This window comes from Homo sapiens, chromosome X (assembly GCF_000001405.40).
Source record: "Homo sapiens chromosome X, GRCh38.p14 Primary Assembly".
Lineage (NCBI taxonomy): Eukaryota > Metazoa > Chordata > Mammalia > Primates > Hominidae > Homo > Homo sapiens.
Window position 1 is genome coordinate 102,748,435 of NC_000023.11, and position 19,593 is coordinate 102,768,027.

The window sequence follows — 19,593 nt, forward strand, 5'->3', positions numbered from 1 at the left end:
ACTCCTTTAGCCTTTCTCACTCTCAGCAAGCTTACCTGCCATCTTTGTTCCTGTTTGATGCAGAGTAAAAGAATGACAGTGCTTGGGCAGGACATTGTTGAGCATTAGTGGCAGTGTGCAAGGTATAAAATTAAGTAGCAGAGTTTTTTATTAATCCACTTCTACACAATTCATTTCTACTCTCCTATGTCCTTCTGTGTGGCTGTTTGCATAGAGAAGCACAGTTAGACAAGACTCAAAGCCAGTTTCTTTCTTCAACCTCAGGTCCATCTCCACTGGTGGCTGTGGTGGCTTTGGATTGTTGGAAGACCATCACCTTCAGCAGGTCTGCACTTGGGAACAATCATTCTCCCCCAGCCCGAGCGTGCCTCTGCCCTCTGTATCATTGACAGAGGCTGTATGTTTGGAAAGAGAACTTTGTGACTGCAGAACTGACAGTTGACTCTAATTCTTGCTACCAAGTTTTTCCCCGACCCAGTGAAAGAGTGTTAAGACTTCGACCTAGGACACATTGAGAACCAAGGCCAAGACTGGACAGGGCCATATAACTGGGCTTCAACCATGGCTGGGACTAAGAATAAGACAAGAGCCCAGGCCAAAACTGAAAAAAAGGCTGCTATACAAGCTAAAGCTGGAGCAGAGAGGGAGGCTACTGGTGTTGTTAGGCCTGTAGCCAAGACCAGGGCCAAAGCAAAAGCCAAGACAGGGTCTAAGACAGATGCAGTAGCAGAGATGAAGGCAGTGTCTAAGAACAAGGTTGTTGCTGAGACGAAGGAAGGAGCTCTGTCAGAGCCTAAGACTCTGGGCAAAGCCATGGGAGATTTCACTCCCAAGGCTGGGAATGAGTCCACCAGCTCCACATGTAAAAATGAGGCTGGTACTGATGCCTGGTTCTGGGCTGGGGAAGAGGCCACTATCAATTCCTGGTTCTGGAATGGAGAAGAGGCTGGTAATAGTTTCAGCACTAAGAATGATAAACCTGAAATTGGTGCCCAGGTCTGTGCTGAGGAGTTGGAACCTGCGGCTGGGGCCGATTGCAAACCTAGGTCAGGGGCTGAGGAGGAGGAGGAAGAGAATGTTATTGGGAACTGGTTTTGGGAAGGAGATGATACTAGTTTTGACCCTAATCCTAAACCTGTGAGCAGGATAGTTAAGCCTCAGCCTGTGTATGAAATTAATGAAAAAAATAGGCCCAAGGACTGGTCTGAGGTAACTATCTGGCCCAATGCCCCTGCTGTAACTCCAGCTGTGTTAGGATTTAGATCCCAGGCACCATCTGAGGCAAGCCCTCCTTCATATATTGTTCTGGCCTCCGCTGAAGAAAATGCCTGTTCTTTGCCTGTGGCAACAGCTTGCCGCCCTTCTAGGAACACTCGCTCATGCTCACAGCCTATCCCTGAGTGTCGTTTTGATTCTGACCCCTGCATCCAGACCATAGATGAGATTAGACGTCAAATCAGGATCAGGGAGGTAAATGGGATTAAGCCATTTGCTTGTCCTTGCAAAATGGAATGCTATATGGATTCTGAGGAATTTGAAAAACTTGTTAGCTTACTTAAGTCAACTACTGATCCTCTTATTCATAAAATAGCACGGATTGCAATGGGTGTCCATAATGTTCACCCATTTGCCCAAGAGTTTATTAACGAAGTAGGTGTAGTGACACTTATTGAAAGCTTGCTCAGTTTTCCTTCCCCTGAAATGAGAAAAAAGACTGTAATTACTCTGAATCCTCCTTCTGGGGATGAAAGACAACGCAAAATTGAATTACATGTTAAGCATATGTGTAAAGAAACCATGTCATTTCCTTTGAACTCACCGGGACAGCAATCTGGATTAAAGATACTAGGACAACTGACTACTGATTTTGTCCATCACTACATTGTTGCCAATTACTTTTCAGAGCTTTTCCATTTGCTGTCCTCAGGAAATTGCAAAACCAGAAATCTTGTTTTGAAACTACTTTTAAATATGTCTGAAAATCCAACTGCAGCCAGAGACATGATCAATATGAAGGCATTGGCAGCATTAAAACTCATCTTTAACCAGAAAGAGGCAAAAGCCAATCTTGTTAGTGGTGTGGCCATATTTATTAACATAAAGGAGCATATCAGAAAAGGCTCAATTGTAGTTGTTGATCACTTGAGTTATAATACACTCATGGCCATTTTCAGGGAAGTTAAAGAGATTATTGAAACAATGTAAAATGAGCCAGAGATAGAACATTTTAAGCCATCTTCAAACTCTAGCAGGCTGTACATTACAGTGTACACATTATACACTGCATCTTTAACACAGAGTCACCTGTGACAGGCTCTAGGTTTGAGCTAGACTATTTTGGGGGTATCAAATGAATATTATACCTTGGGCTGAAAATGTTTGATTTTTATCTTGTCTAGATTGGCATATTTTTAACATTTTACTTAAGATAGCAAACCAGTTCGTTTTAAGTAAGCTAACTTGTTCATTAGTATCTGTGGCTTAAAATGGCAAAAAAGAAAATATCCTTGAGTTTGTAATCTAGTTACAGAAGTAAGGCATACACACACACAAAGATAACAGTACCTAGAGAGAGAGTGTGTGTGAGTGTGCGTGTCTCTGTGTGTGCACGTGCACGCTCATGGCCAAATGTGCGCACTCTACATAAAGGAGGCAGGAGTTCCTATAGGCTATTTAATGTAAGAGAAACTATTTTTCTCCTGTTCCAGCTGTATCAGATACTCGTTCCGCAACACAGAAATGACTCAGAATCTCAGACAAAATGTATTATTTGTTCAATTTTAATTTTGCTACTACATTCATAACTCTTAAATTGTTAGGCTGTTTCATTTACATCAAAGTTATCTCACAAAAGAGAAGGCAGGAAACGTTTTGTGAGTGCCTATTCTATGTCAAACACTGTGTTGGCACCATATTTTACAAGTTTTTTTCCTCTTCTCACAGTGATCTTGTGAGTTAGTTACTTATATTTTTATTAGAACTCATTATTCTGGGTACCCTCCAATGAGAATTAGAGAGGTTAAATACCTTTTCCTAGATTCCCACAGCAGGAAGGTGGCATAGCTGTTTTGTCTGACACCAGAACCCATCTCACCACACTGCTTTACAGTCTTCCTGAAGGACATTTTGAGGTGGGGGGGCCTTCAAAGCTCAGAGACTGGTTTGAATGGTTTAATTTTGCAATGGATCATGTCCATGCCAGGTGTTACAATTCTTAACTTCCTCCAAATTCGTGTGTCCATTAGACATTTGGCTACATCTGGCTGGAGGTCAGGAGAAAATTCTGAGGTAAATAGATGGATTTTATCTGGCAGTGTCGAAAATAGTAGGAGCCTAAAACTTTGTTCAATGAGTAAGATGTAGATTTGGAGTCATCAGCAGGGGAAACTTGTTAGATGTCCTTTGTATCTTTTTCTATCCATTTGTATTTTTTCTTTCCCAAAGAGCTGAAATCATTTTATACCCTGAATTTAAAAGGTAATTGCTTTTTTCCTCCTTGCGAAATCATACCTTAATTTTTTTTTTTTTTTTTTTTACCATTTATGATTTATTCTCCTATGTGTCATATGAAAGGCCAAGGGGCTTTATCTTTTACTAGTAGGCAAGCCTGGGCATTTCTGCATTTGTGCCAGCTAACACTACAAAATAGACTTAATTAGAGAAATTTAGACCCAGAATTGCAGCTTCAACAACACAAAACAGGAAAGCTAGAAGAGGTTGCTGTGTCAACCTACAAGATAGTGATTCTTGGAAGTTGGTATGGACCAGAAAGCATTCCCAGGACATTTAGGCTATGGCTGAGTTCTCTAAGACTCAGGGTGGGAATTATAATCCCTGGTCTAAGCTGATATGAAAGTTTCTATGTGTGAAAATATGGAGTTATATGCTTTGAGATTTTCTGCCAGTTAAACTAAAACAAGATCATACTGTAAATGTTTGTAACTTGCTTCCCCCCACTGTATACTGTAAACATCTTTGCATGTCAATAAATATGCCTCTACAACATATTTTTGAATCACTTAATATTTTTCCCATGTTAACAGTTGGTATATAGTGTTGTAAACCTTTATTGCATATTCTCATAACATACAATATACACATTCTTTTGCAAAAATGGGAACACAGTATTGAGACTTGCCTTTTCCTCTTAACACTTATCTTTTCAATTTAGTATTATATAGATCTGTCACATGCTTTTTATCTAATAACTTTATAGAAATATAATTGCCATACATTAAGCTGCATGTTGAAAGTATACAGTGTGATCAGTTTTGGAATGTATATACACACAAAACCATAACCACAATCAAAATTGTAAATACATTCATCACCCACCAAAGCTACTTTTTTTTTGAGACAGAGTCTTGCTCTGTCACCCAGGCTGGAGTACAGTGGCGCAATCTCGGCCCACTGCAACCTCTGCTTCCCAGGTTCAAGTGATTCTCGTGCCTTAGCCTCCTGAGCAGCTGGGACTACAGGTGCATGCCACCACATCCGACTAATTTTTTTTTTTATTTTTTGTATTTTTAGTAGAGACAGGGTTTCACCATGTTGGCCAGGCTGGTCTTGAACTCCTGGTCTCAAGTGATCTACCCATCTTGGTCTCCCTGAGTGCCAGGATTACAGGCGTGAGCCACCATGCCCAGCCTCCCCCAAAGCTTCTTAATGCCCTTTTGTAATCCCTCCCTCCCCTCTCTCCCTGTGCCCCTAACCCAGGCAACCATGGGACATTTTCTGACAAAATAGAATTGTTTTCATTTCCTGTAATTGTGTATAAATGGACTCATATAGCATGTACTCTTTGGTCGGGAGGGGATCTGGCTTATTTCACTTAGTGTAATTATTTGAGATTCATCCATATCATGTGTCTCACTATTTCATTGCTTTTTATTGCCAAGTAGTATTCCACCATATGGCTTTACCACAGTTTATTTATCCATTCACTTATTGATGGACATTTGGGCTGTTCAGAGTTTGGCCATTATAAGTAAAGCAGCTATGAGCATTTGTGTACAAGTGTTTTTATGGACATAGGCTTTCATATCTTTGGAATGACATCTAACAATATTGAATCTTCGACCCATGAATAAAATCTCTCTCCACTTATTTAAGTCTCCTTTATTTCTCTAAGCAGCATTGTGTAGTTTTCCTGCAACATGCTTTTTTAGCAGCTGCATATATTCTGTTATGTGGTGGTATTACATGTTATTTAATCTGTTCCCTGATGATGAACACTTACAGGATTTGGTAAGCATGAATAATTCTATGATTTGGTATTTAAATCTTATTCTATAGGTGAGGAAGACCAAAGTTGTGATGGGTAAAGAAGCAGCAGTCACTAATATTAGCCAGAATGGGGGGGGGGGTATTTCATCATTTTTATAATTGGGACAATGATTTTCTGTGTTAATACATGATTACAGAGTAGTCTTGCTTTTGTCTTGATACATGACATTCATGGAGTAGCCTGGTCTGATGTTAATGTTCTGTGAAATTGTTTCAATTCAATGAGAGAACATCAAGGCCTAGCTGTGAGTGCTGGGCCAGCTCTTAGATGTCAGACTGCTTTTCTTCTTGTCATGGATATTTACAAATATTTATGTATATTGCCTAACCTTCAAAATGAATCTCACCAGCCTCATCTCATGGATCATGAATGTCTGTTTCTTCATATACTTGCCAACACTTGGTATCACTGTTTTTAAGTTTTGCTACTCTCATAGACAAAATCATCTCATTGTTATTTTTATAACAACATTTTAAAGGTTACATAATACTACATATTATGGATGTGACAATTGAATCGCACCTTTATATTCCATTGGGTTAATTGTAGGTATGTGAAGATGGACCCCATTACTTAGTGGGTGGAGGAGAGGAGTATATATACATCTGTGTCACTTTGCCTATTTTCTTTATGCCTCCTCATTGCTGTCTTTCCCACGTGATCTGGAGGCCCTTGCAATTATCACCAACTGACAACTAGAAAAGTTGTATCACTTTATGCCTTGGGAACTAGATTTAAAACAAGAATGAAGAGTTTAGCTGTGCTGACATTCTGTTACAGAGTTCAGGCCCTGAACTCTGTTATGGACCAACACTCAGGCAACAGCCATAGTGACTAGACTTGCAAGTGATATGTACACACAACTACACCTCAAAACAAAATGGGGCTTATTAATGAGACAAGCAAAAATGCTTTCCAGTTACAGTTTTATGAAGATAACATAAATGTACTTCTATTTCTTCAGAGTTGGTCATTTTATAAAATAAGCTTCAGAGAAGTATCATAATTAATTGTGAGTTGATAAAAGTCTTCAAGAGCAACATGCACTTTTTGCTTTAAGATTTTAGCTTATCTCTGGACACCTACTTTCAGCTCGACAGTGTGCTATCTTGTGTCAGCAGCTCTTCTGAAAGGAGCTCTGGCCACCTCTCTCCTAAAGGTGCCATGTGCCTCTCAATGGTCGTTGCTAGGGTTTCCCTGAAGGAGAAGAGAACTGCAGAAACTTGCAAACTGGAACAGCTATTTGTTGTGTATGTTGAACACCTCATTTAGCAAACAAAACTAGGCTGTTCTCAGGTTGTGATATCCAAAATAAAGCAAAATATAAAAGACTTCGGTAGAAATATTTTTCTTCTCCAGAAGATGTTAATATTCCATGTAGGAGGGAGAGACTGGCTACAACCTAAGGCCCAGTTAGGTCCTTTGTGGAAAGCTCTAAAATGTTAGGAACAAACAAAATGCCTAGTATGTTAGCAATGAACAGGAAAGAGGAGTAATGCAGAAAGCAATAATGTGTTTCCAGGTGCTCTGCTTTGAATTATGAAAGAGTGCTATTCCCTCTCCTTGTTGATAACAAAATGTCATTTTAATGGGAAATTGCACTGGAGAAAGTGTGCTCCACTAGGCCCATGCTTTATTATGTAGCTTTTATGTGTAGCTGTGCTATTGTAGTTTAAGGATACAAAGAATTAATCTTTTATCAGAACCATCTTGATTCTACAAAATATGATAATGTGATATGAGTTAAATTGCACTCCTTAACAAACATCGAATACTTTTTTTTTTTTTTTTGAGGTGGAATCTTACTCTGTGGCCCAGGCTGGAATGCAATGGCATGATCCCGGCTCACTGCAACCTCCACCTCCTGGGTTCAGGTGATTCTCCTGCCTTGGCCTCCCGAGTACTTGGGATTACAGATGCTCACCACCGCACCCGGCTAATTTTTGTATTTTTAGTAGATATGGGGTTTTGCCATGTTGATCAGGCTGGTCTCGAACTCCTGACCTTAGGTGATCACCCACCTCGGCCTCCCAAAGTGCTGGGATTACAGACGTCAGCCACTGCACCCGACCTACATGAATACTTTTATAATGGCCTTCTGGAAAGCCATACACTTGGGCTGCAATTGTTCAGAACATTGAAATTGCCTTTAGAACCAGTTTGTATTAATTTTATATTTATGATTGACACATTATAATTGTGTATATTTATGGGTACAGTATGATGTTTCAATGCATGGGTGCATTGCATAATGATCAAATCAGGATAATTACCATATCCATCACTATAACCACATTCAGAACCAGTTTGTGAGTTATACAAGGACACCAGGATCATCGCTTTATAGCCATGGCTATATATTGAATATTTTTGTACTCAAGATCAGTGCTTTTTCATCTTCATCATGTCCTAACACACTCAGAAAAAGAGTATTTGCATGGGACAAACAGACACATCTGTTCCCCCTTAAAGGCATCAGCCTCAAGGACTCCAGCTGCCCCATTCCCACCTGCAACTACTGTGAGCACTGAGGGAAGCAGTATCTTCAGCACACCTGTAACCTATTTCTAGCATGTGATTGGAATGCTCTACCCCAGGTCCATGGTTTTCAACTGCCTTTCTTGGAGTCTTAGGATTCCCAGGAAATGCTTCAAAAGGCACTACAGAGGTTCAGGGGAAGCTGAGTGGGTTGGATCTATGTGCTTCCCACTACTCTCAATCAAAACAACTTAGCTTTGGGATTATGTGTAAGAGTGTGTTTGGAAAAAAGTTCCCCCTGTTAAAAATTGCTGTGACCACTTCTATAAATATCCATTCATCCATCCATCTTTAAAAAGAATCTGCATCTAATGGTTGAGTTGCCCTTCTGCATATTCCTAACACTGACAGTATTACTATCTACTGATTTTTTTAGTTGATGGAAATCTATTCATGTTACTCAAAAGATTCCCGTGCTCAGGTTTCACATAATTTATTAAAAGCTCTAGCTAATACCTTCAAATAAAGTTTGTAAACTTTTGTAAATTCTATTTTTGAAGAAGTGTGTCACACACATGGCAGTCAGGCAAGAGTAAATAGTAGTTTTGAATACAAGTCCCAAAGGTATCATTTTTTTATTTTGATGCCAGAGTTCTCAACTTCGTTGGCAGTATTTTCTGTCTGCCAAAAGCATAGGCCTCCACTGTACACATGTCCATTTGTGCAAAGGTTCCCCTAGGAAACACTTCTAGAATTTGAATTTCTAAGTCTGAATAGAACATTTTTCATCATTGGTGAAGGTGTAGAACAGTGATTCTTAACCCTGGTTGCATTAGAATCACCTGGAGAGCTTTTAGAACCTAGTCATGCCCAGGATCCGCTCCCAAAGATGCTTATTTAATTGGTCTGGAGAGGAACTTGGGCCTTGATAATTTTTAAAACGTTCCCTAGGTAATACTAATGAGCAGTCAAATTTGAAAACCGCTGTTGTAGAGAATCAGGCAATCTCATCAACTGCTGGAGGTAAAGGAGAATAATTTGGTGTAACCTCTTCTAATGGTCATTTACCAATATCTATTAAAATGTTCATATTTTTGAATGAGAAATTAATAGATATTTATCCTACAGAAAAAAATACATAAAAGTGGGCACAAATATTGTATAAATATGTTAATTGTACCAATGTTTGTATTTTTGAAACTAGAAATATTCAATATATCCACAAATAGGAGATTAAATAGCTTACAGTAGTTCCGTAGTATGGGATATTCTGCATTAGTTTAAAGTAATCGAAGAGATCTATATGTACTAAAATATGATCTTCGTTTTGAAAATGCATGAAAAGAGAAAAACTGGAATGACATATAAAATATCTAATAGGTTTATAGCTAGTGGAGGAACTAGAGTGTTTTATTATCTTTTTATCTTATTTCTCTAATTCTTCTTTGGTAAACAAATACTACTTATGTAATAAAACATACAACCTTAAGGAGAAGATCTGATGAGGAAGCATTTGTTACACAAAAAGTTGAGCATATACCCATAAAGGAAATATCAATTAAATGGAGCTTCTCGGGCCGGGTGTAGTGGCTCACGCCTGTAATCCCAGCACTTTGGGGGGCTGAGGTGGATCACTTGAGGCCAGGAGTTTGAGACCAGCTTGGCAACATAGCAAAACCCCTTTCTACTACAAATACAAAAATTAGCCAGGTGTGGTAGCGCATGACTGTAATCTCAACCACTCAGGTGGCTGAGGCACGAGAATCACTTGAACCCAGGAGGTGGAGGTTCCAGTGAGCCAAGATCGTGCCACTGCACTCCAGCCTAGGCAACAGAGTGAGACTTTCAAAATAAAATGAGATAAATGGAACTTCTGTAGGGGTGAATTATTGGGGCAAGATACAAAGTCGAATTTCATGAACGCATATTAGTCTAGGAATTACAAATTATCGTAAATGAGAAGATGTAAATATGAGCTAAAATTCACAGTAATCGCCCAAGTAAATGAGATATTTAAGCAATCCAGAACCTTTTCTCATCAAGTTGATTAAGGGAAATAATCTCCCAAGGTGTTGGGAGGCTGATAGGAAAGTGTGTGTTTCATAATCAGAACCTAAGAAATCTGACACACAAACTTTGAAAGTGTATAAGGGAATGATCAAAAATTAGCTGAGTGTGGTGGTGGGTGCCTGTAATCCCAGCTACTCAGGAGGCTGAGGCAGGAGAACGGCTTGAACCCAGGAGGTGGAGGTTGCAGTGAGACAAGATGGTGCCACTGCACTCCAACCTGGGCAACTCCATCTCGAAGAAGAAAATGTATAAGGGAATGAGAAACGTTTTGTTTTCCGGAGGTCAAGGGAAGTCGCAGATCTTGGATGGCCGTTACATATATTATTGGCAATGCAAAGAGTCGGTTTACATCCAGACACCATACTCTCTTTTAAAAATGACTGCATCAAATAAGTCTTGTGAAAAGCAAAGAAAATAATAAAATTGTGTTTTTATCTTAAACTAGTAACAGAAGCAATCAGTTGCTGAATGGTCTGTCACTTTATATTCAGTAGGACCTCCCTAGACAGGATTATTCTGTGAAGTAGCATGGTTGGAACAAAAAGTAGCTAAGGAAGACATTTCTTCTTTTTTTCCTTTTAATAGACATTCTGTGCACCCTTTAACACAATATGGTTGCAGCATCAAAGGACACAATTGATTAATAGTCATCATAAAACTTCACAACCATCCTACAATGTGAAAAACTGAGCGCTTAGCCTCTACTAAAGGTTTGTTTATTACATGAATGAAGGAATGAACGAATGAGCTATGAGGCACTGGATATTGATAAAAACAATTCTCTATCTTTAAAGTGGAAGTTGAGAAGAAAACATTAGTTCCTTGAACAGCCAACTACCTTTGCCACCAGTAGGTTTAGTCATACAAAAATCTCTTGAATGGAATCTATGGTCTTTGAGATATTTCAAACTGTGATAGAAACAATGCAATTAATTCAAGCAGGTCCTTTCTTTAGGACTGATCTACAAAATATGATAATGTGATATGAGTTTAATTGCACTCCTCTACACTATAAAGGACATCTACACTGATCAGGCAAACCTCACAATTCAAATGAACCAATTCAAACTGCACATGTGAGCTTCTCAAATGTTTTGTAGGTATAGGCTCAATAGAGGGTTGTTTGCTATTAAATATTGGAAAGTTTACAAATTTGTGTTGGGCAGCATTCAAAGCCATCCTGGGCCACATGAGGCCTGCGGGTCACAGATTGGACAAGCTTGCTTTAACTCATAATTTGATTTTTTAATGTTTCTCTGATGCATGTGAAAATATTATGAGTAAAAAGACAATGTTTGGGCTCTGCTTTAAAATACTCTAGAAAACACACACACACACACACACACACAAACACACACACACAAAAGGGTTGGAGAGAGTTTTAAAAATGGCAGAATGTTACTAGATGTTGCAACTTGCTGGTGGGCATATGGGTGTTCATTAAGCTATCTTTTCTACCTTTGTATATGCTAGAAATTAAAATTTTAATCCAAAAATAAATAAATATTGGAATCTTAATATACAATTTTAATACTTTTATCATTTGACATGTCCTATGTAATATGCTGTGAGGATGAAAATACAACTCCATTTTCTTTTGAATATGTGTTAAAAATAATAATAAAAATTATTTTTCTTTGCCCAGTGATTTGAAAATGCCACTTTTATCATCATAAACATTTATAAATGCTTTGGTCACTCTCTCAGTGGGCTTTCTATTTTATTTCATTAAATTATATATTGTTATATTGGTTTTAATTGTTCTTGCCTTGTAATTTGTTTTAGTATAAAACAGAGAAAGAGTCTCTTCATTATGCTTCTTCTGAATGGCCATCATTCTTGTTTTATTTTATTTTATTTATTATTCCTGTTTCTAATGGAAGTAAGGAAGGGTAGAGTGACTTACTCAGTGTTATAAAGTAAGAATGTTGTTGATATAGCCCCGGGACCCAGATTTCATGCCTCCCATTACAGTATTCTGTTTGTCAGCATCGTTATTTTGCTTTATTCTTTTGTGGGATCTTGTCTCTCTGTACCTTGAAGGATATAACCAACATCAAGTTCTCTTGCTTCTCTGCTGCTGACAGGGAAAAAAAAAAAAGGAAGCAGGAATGTACACACACCAGTTACATATAAATGGGTGGTCTTTCATCCCTATCTCAATTATATCATCCTAAACATTCTATAATACAAAAATGATGCTTAAGGTAATATATAATGTAATATGTGCTTATTTCTCTGTCTGATTCTTAAAAAATTTCTGATGTATTTAACAGTCATGCTGCAATCTCACCAGAATTCTTACACTCAGTCACTACATTCAGTTCAATTAGTTAAACAAAAACTCCCAGAGTGTTTGGCCCTGGCTGAGGCTCTACAGATATATGTTGCTGTGTGGTAGGATACCATTGTGGTTAATACCAATGTGCTTTGACACCATACAGTCTGGGCTAGGGTACTGCCTCTGCCCCCTACTAGCCATGTGGTCCTGGACAAGTTTCTTAACCTTTCTATACCTTGAGGTCCTGATCCATAAATGGGGATAATACCTTAAAGAGCTGTTACGAAGCTCAAATACATTAATGTCATTAAAGTACTGAACATGGTGTCCAGCATAGAAATGTAGGCTAGGGTGGACCTTCATGCTTTTTGTTCATCTGTCTTGACGTTGAAACTCCTTTTGGGTCTGGCTTTACTTGCTGCTCATATAACCAATTTCTACATGTTTTACCATTTAAAACATGCGTTTAATAAAGGGGAACAAAAGCTAAGCTCTAAATTTTGGTTGAAACTGCAGATTTTGATACAGTTTATAAAAACGACTATACTTCAGTTTGAGAAACTCATGTAAGGATGAAAAAAGACTGGAGACTCTCAATTCTGTATGCCATATGCATTTATTTAACAAATATGTATGGAATGTCTATTATATGCCAGGCTCCAGAAGCCCTCAAACCATATCTTTATTACAGAAATTTCTTCAGGGGTCCAGACCCATGAATTCAAATACCTATGAGCAATTTATATCTAAAGCAGTGATTCCCATTCAGGAGCAATTATGCTCCTTAGCTCCAGGGACATGGAAATGTCTGGAGACATTTTTGGTAGTCACACCTGGGGGTGCTACTGGAATCTTATGATTAGTGGCCAAGGAGGCTGCTGAACATCCCCCAATGCCTAGGACAGCCCCCACAGCAAAGAACTCTCCAGCCCAAAATGTCAATAGTGCTGAGGTTGAGAAAACCTGCTCTAGAACAGGGCAAATGTTACTACCCACACCTATCTGCAAAGGTTCATGGTGGAACCCAAGGTTGGGGTCTGACCACCCTGGATTCAAATAACCATGCTGCCTCTTATTGGGCGTGTGTCCTTGTAAAATATATTTAACCTCCATTAGCCTTAGGAGAGCCTGCTTCTGGGGAGGAATAAGTTTAAGCAGGGAATATTGATACCTAACTTACAGAACAGTTGTAAGGACTTAGAGAAACAGTATGTGAAGTGCCTAACACAGTGTCTGGCCCATTGTAGGCCCTTGAAATGTTAGTTTTCTTTCCATCCCCCTTTCTAACTTCTGCTTCTGAGATGACTTTAACCTAAACTACATAGTGCTAAGCAGCATAATTGTGTTCTAAAGAGCTTCTGAAAGCAAGGCAACAGAAAGAAAAATAAACTCACACAGACCCACATTATGTGTAAGAGTTGGTGCCTCTTCTGTGTTGTGGCATCGTGCATTGTAGGTGGCATGGGGAAATGTCACCCCATTTCTTTAGAATCAGTGTACCTTTCCTGACCTCTTTGGGCCCCCCTTGGAGAGTGAACATCAGGAGTGGCCATTGACTGGTTATCTGGGTTGTTCCTGTGGCTCCATAAAGACACATGCCCAGGGAAGAGCAGAGCATGAGGATGGGTCTTCTGGAGAGAGCAATGGAGTGAAAGGCAGAAGATGTCGCTTCCAGAGCCTGACAAACTGCTTTCTGTGTGATGTGGGTAAAACATATACCTTCTCCTGGCTACAGACTTGGTGTTAGGGCATGTGAGTTGAGGGGATCTTCTAGCAGGCCAATTTTGGGTATAAATCATTTGGCTTGTCTCTTTCCAAGCATTTCTGCCATCATATAAGTTCTCATATTCTAGTGCTGCTGAAGGATTAAATGAATTAAACTATCTCATAGGAAATCTGGGACATTGCTGAGGCAGAAGGTCAAAGTGTGCTGGTGGGACTCCTAGATGGCCCTTATCACTTCTGCTTGGGAGGGGCACACTCCATTTCCCCTCATAGCTCACTGGCCACATCTAGTCACATGCCCAGGTCTGATGTCAGTGGAGTGGGGTCAGTGGGTGCCTCAGTGCACTTGAGCTGCCATAACAAAATACCTGAAAGTGGGTAATTTGTAAACAACAGAAATGTATTACTCAAAGTTCTGGAGGCTAGGAAGTCCAAGATCAAGATGCCAGAATATTTGTAGTGTGGTAAAGACTCCGTCTGCATCATAAATGACACCTTCTTGCTGCATGCTCACATGGTGAAGTGGCAAACAGGTTCTCTCAGGCCTCTGATAAGGACACTAATCCCATTTATGAGGGCTCTGCCTTCATGGCCTAACTACCTCCTAAAGATTATTAGGTTTCAACATATAAATGTGTGGGAGACACAAACATTCAGACAAAAGAAGTGGGCCTAAGAGGGACCCTAAGGACCTGCCGGTACATGTAACTTCACAGCTAGGTTTCATGGGCCAGAAAACAAGATTTCATCTCCACTATCATCTTCCTCAACATGAGGGGTTATTGAGTGAGTACCTTTAGGGGACAATACTAGGGAAATGTAAAACTTCCAAATGGGAAGCTGCTGGTTTTATTGTGGGGAGGGAAAGAATGGAATCACATTCCATTTCTGCCACTTCTCTGGAGAGGGTCTTAGTCCCTTTGAGAAGGAGCTTGGTCATCTGTGAAATAAGACGCACCACATTATCTTCTTCAGAGTACTGTCCTGAGGGATAAATGAGAAAACCTGTCAAGTGCCTATGGGAGATAGTAGGACTTCAGCACATAACAGGTCTGGCTATTTGCCCCCTCCCTCCCAGAGAGTAGATGACATTGACCTAAACCAAAGGGCATTACTGCTATTGAGACCTTGTGGAAAGGTAGCAGCAAGAGCTGAAATATATCCCCATAACCTATGAGCTTTGGGCCAGTTCTGAGTTGTGGGATGAGTTACATGTGAGAGCTGGGGAAAAGGAAAAATAAATCACCATACCATTTCCTATAACTGCATCTGCCTTCCTATCCTCTTAATTTATCATTCAGTTTGACACTGGAGGAGCAGTTTCCCATTAACTTTAAGGTAGAAGGGACACCACAGGGCAATATGACAAGAATACTGGACGGAAGACTAGAGTCATAAGACCAGACACATTATGATCCACGATTATGTTCTGTTATATGGCAAAAGGGAGATGATCAGCATAGGCCTGACCTAATTAGTCAAGCCCTGTAAAATCAGAGAATTTTCTCCTGCTGTTTAGAGTAGGGCAAGTCAGAGATTCAAAGCACAGGAAGCCTTCAATGTGCCATTGCTGGATGGAAGAAGGAGGCCACATGGCAGGCAAGTGGACTAGCCCCCAGGAGCTAAGAATATCCCCAACTGACAGTCATCAAGGAAATGGGGACTGCGGTTCAATGGCCACAAGGAAATGACTTCTGCCAGCAGCAAGAATGATCTTGGAAGCAGATTTTTATCTAGATCATCCGCGTGAGACCTCAGTGGAGCCAACATGGGCACCTTGATTCTAGCTTTGTGAGACCTTGAGCAGAGAATAAGGTCATGCTGGACCAGTCTTCTGACCTACAGACCTGTGAGCTACTAGATGGATGTAGCTTTCAGACACTAAGTCTGGTTACACACCTACAATAAATTAATACATTCCAGTTAAGTTAAATCTATTCAATGCATACACAGTATTTTTGTTTACATGTACACATGTGTATAGATGATAATTGGTGGAAACATAATTACAGTTTTTATTAGTGCATGGTGGGGTTAGATATTATCAATATTCATATTGGTATTTGAATGCACTTTCCACATTTTTTAAATAGACAGTGGGTTACTTATTAATCAGAGATAAAACACATTAGAGCTTTGTTCATGTCAAATTTGATAGATTTCAGACTTTTCAAAAGGTATTGTAAATATGATAGTAGGCAAACACGTACACAACCAAGGTTATGAAGCAAAACATTACAGAGTGGACTCTCCTGTGTGAGTTCCCTGATTGCCTCAGCGCCCTCAGAAGGAACCACTATCCAAAATTTCTTGTTTAGTCATGAATACATCCCTAAACTAAACACATAATTGCTTTGCATATTTTTATCTCTATATAAGTAACATATTTATATATCTATTATCGAAATGTTTTCTTCTGAAAATAGTGTTTCTGAGATGTTTCTAACCAGGTGACTTTGGGACTATTTTGATATTTACCCATGCTCCTGTGAACAGGTTTGCTATGTACCGAGACTCTGCAATGCACATCTGAGAGGGCAGCAGATGACAGAGCCTCACATGCTTCTATTGTGGGTGCTGCTCAATATCTCCACAAAGAAGTTGTACCAATTTGTCCGCTCCAAGCTATGTATGGGCTTCTCGTGGCCCCAACATTTCAATTCAAACAGGATGCAACATAAACACAAATTCGATGATTGGGTTTTCTTTTCAAACTCTAGAATTATTCCAAGACATATTCTAAGGTATAATATGGAACCATTAGCTAAGCATTTTTAATGCACCTGTGAAATACACTATTTAAAACATAATACGATAGGGAAAAATAAAGAAAATCTAATGTACCAATAACAGGATCTCAGAATAAAAAATATTAAAAATCTGTGAAACCTATTTTTGCACAGATCAGGAAAAACAGATGTTTTCAAATTGTTGGATGGAATATAAGAACTATTAAAGAAATTTTAAAGTTCAACTATATAGGAAGCATTAAAAATATTAAATGGTCATGCTCTTTGACAAAACAGTTCCACTTCTGGGAATGTATCCTCCTGATATGGCCTCAAGAGTCTCCTGCTGTAACCACTCGTGTCCACACTGCTCAGGGCTGAGATGACCATTTCCTTAGTTGGCCCAGTGCCTTCATGTCCCAGATCCTGAGTCATCTACCCCTGGATCAAAACAGGAAAATCAAATCTGAATCATGGATGGATGCCCAGACTCGAAGGACCATCCACTAATTCACCACAAACATTGATACAGAGCAATGCTCAGGTCCCAACTCCTGGAGAGATTTGTAGACCTCAGGCCTCATCCCTGTCTGGGAGAAATCTTCCTTCCTCTCCCATCTTTGTGTCCTGAGAGGCCCCCACATCCCTACCAGGTACAAGCAGCCCGGTCCTTTCAACAAATTAAGTTTTCATAAAGGATGAAAGAAAAACTGGCTCCAGAAGGCTTCTGCTGTCAGCCCTCTCACAAACCTCCCCTGAAGTAAGGAGAGGGGGCACCAACCTTACTGCAGGGAGGGTAAGCAAGGAGAACAGAGATTAACCTCCTTAACAGTACATGTCCAGATACATTTGCTAAAGGTCTACCACTAGCAACTCAAGGTGCCCAGGCTGGCAGGTTCTATCCCTGGCTCTGGCAGTGGGCCTGGTGAGTAACCTCCTTGCCATTCAGCTCTGTGTTTAGGAGCACGTGCTTTATAGTCACTGACATCCATGAGGAAGAGAGGATACTGGTACCTCACCAGCACGGCTGTCATGAGATTAAATCCAGACACTAATGTGAAGAAACTGGAGCTGGGCCCAGCTAAACCATCTGCCTTACAAAATAGTAGCTGTCTTTTCCTCCTCCAAGCAGGGAACTCATGTTACTCTGAGCTGCCACCTCAGCCAGGGCCCCTTAAGAGGGCGCACATCGTAGTCACCTTGATGAGTCTTTTCTAAACCCTCAGCTGAAACTCCCTTGTTGGTGGAAAAATAGGACTTTGGCATCAAAGATCATTAATGTCTTAAGTTATAATATGAGCCTTGGAAAACAGATATATCCACTTGGCACCAACAGTATATGTGAGCGTCTGCTGGCTTTTCATTCCACCAACACCAAGTATTACCAACTTTTGTCCTTATTGCCAATCCAATCTGCTCATTTTCCCCAGACCTGTCCCATTGGAAGAATCAGCTCAGATGGTCATTAAACTTAGAGATTCACAGGGTCATCCCCTGCAATTGCCAGATTTAGCAAATAATAAGACGATTTAAAATTTTTATTTTGTTATTTATTTCATTTACTTTTATTTATTTAATTAAAATCCAGTTGGATTTTAATTTTAAATAAACTAATATTGCATGCCACATAAACTAAAAAATATTCCTATTAATCCGGAATTTAAAGTTAACTGAGTTGATTTTAATCTGGTAACTGTACACGTGGAGGGCTCTGTGGAGAGCCAAGATGCTCAGGTCAACAGCCTTAACTGAGCTCCCAGCAGACGCCAACACCAGTCATCATTCATGTGAGTGAGCTCTCTCAGATGTCCCAGATGAGTGGAACCTCCAGATGACTGCAGCCCCAGGTGACAGACATCATATAGAGCAGAAAACATCCAGCTGGGCCCAGTTAACACACAAAATACTGAGAGAAAATAAATGGCTATTAATTAAGGGTGCTTGTTAAGAAGGAACGGATATCTAAAACATTATGGTTTTGGTGAACTTTTCCTCATTTTCTGTGTTGTGTTATCATTGGGTAAGAAAGGAATTTTCTTATCCTTGAAGGCTTAGTGAAACTTGGTTATAATTGTATCATCTGAGTGTTGGCTTACATGTGGGTACAGATTTCTGAACATGTCATCAATTCCTTCTTGAAGGGATTCCCAAGGGCAATTTACATGATATCTATTTTTCATGCTAGTCTTAAAATTTGAAACCTAACTCCTTAAGAAGAATTCCCACTGCAATCATGTGAATTAAGATACTGAGAGGGCATTGCTACAAACCATTCTATGAGGAAACCTGAGAGGTTGTCTTAGTGAGTATTCATTCTGAACAATTTTAGAAGTGTTTCTCAAAGAAAGTGTCCTGAAACACTTTCTCCTGCTATAGTGATAACCCTTGGCAAGGAAGTAACTTTCCTTGGGCACACATAGACAGGGCTCCTTTAGGAGACAGCAGATAGATATACATTGCAGTCCTTGGTCTTTATGACTGTCCCAATGCAGCACTGCTGGGTGGATAAGTCAATTCTAGAACTTACTCATAGTAAGCCCACGTGACAGCAAATCTAAGTCACATTCTCCAATATCACCTTATAAGAGATAAAGTCAATATATGTTTCTCCTTATTCTTTTCCTATGTTTCTCAGTTGGTTTAGAGCTCAGACTAGAAGCAGAAGAGTATTTTGGGGGCCCCTTAAAGAATTAAGCATTGTGAATCAAGAACTATAGGAATAATTGTAGAGTCAGTGAGACACAGTTAGAGGAGTAAACCTGTGGGCCTATTTTAAGTCCCATCCCTGAAGGCAAAGCTGAACAAGTGCCTCCTGAAGGGCAGCTTACTACCAAGAAGTTGAAGGGAGAGGGCTTGGGCAGAGTATCATGTGTCTCCTTCCAGATTCTCCAATCGGATAAGTCATTCCTGCCGTAGAGAGGAGTGAGTGTGTAGAGGCTACATGTATTTTTGTCATGGATGTATTTTCCACATGGAAAAACATACCAGGAATGAAGGATAAGAATTTCCTTAAGGCAGGGCTG

General features: G+C 39.8%; 2 protein-coding genes across 13 annotated transcripts in view; both read left to right on the forward strand.

The window, feature by feature from the left end:
• GPRASP3 (G protein-coupled receptor associated sorting protein family member 3) overlaps window positions 1-5,106 on the forward strand; it is a 32,798-nt gene extending 27,692 nt beyond the window's left edge. For 6 of the 8 annotated variants that reach the window (NM_001142524.2, NM_001142527.2, NM_001142525.2 and 3 more), the window contains one exon: window positions 265-5,106. In NM_001142524.2, the coding sequence (NP_001135996.1) occupies window positions 562-2,205 (1,644 nt within the window). In that variant the 5' untranslated portion in view covers window positions 265-561 and the 3' untranslated portion in view covers window positions 2,206-5,106. The remainder of the gene's footprint in view (window positions 1-264) is intronic. The other 2 variants (NM_001142529.1, NM_001142530.1) reach the window with 1 other exon arrangement.
• The window catches only part of ARMCX5-GPRASP2 (ARMCX5-GPRASP2 readthrough), a 308,717-nt gene that overhangs the window by 149,087 nt on the left and 140,037 nt on the right, over window positions 1-19,593 (forward strand). For 3 of the 5 annotated variants that reach the window (NM_001350268.2, NM_001350269.2, NM_001350270.1), the window contains one exon: window positions 265-5,106. The exons of the other annotated variants lie outside the window; for them this stretch is intronic. In NM_001350268.2, the coding sequence (NP_001337197.1) occupies window positions 562-2,205 (1,644 nt within the window). In that variant the 5' untranslated portion in view covers window positions 265-561 and the 3' untranslated portion in view covers window positions 2,206-5,106. Of the gene's footprint in view, window positions 1-264; window positions 5,107-19,593 lie in introns of those variants that run through there. 5 annotated transcript variants of the gene reach the window in all.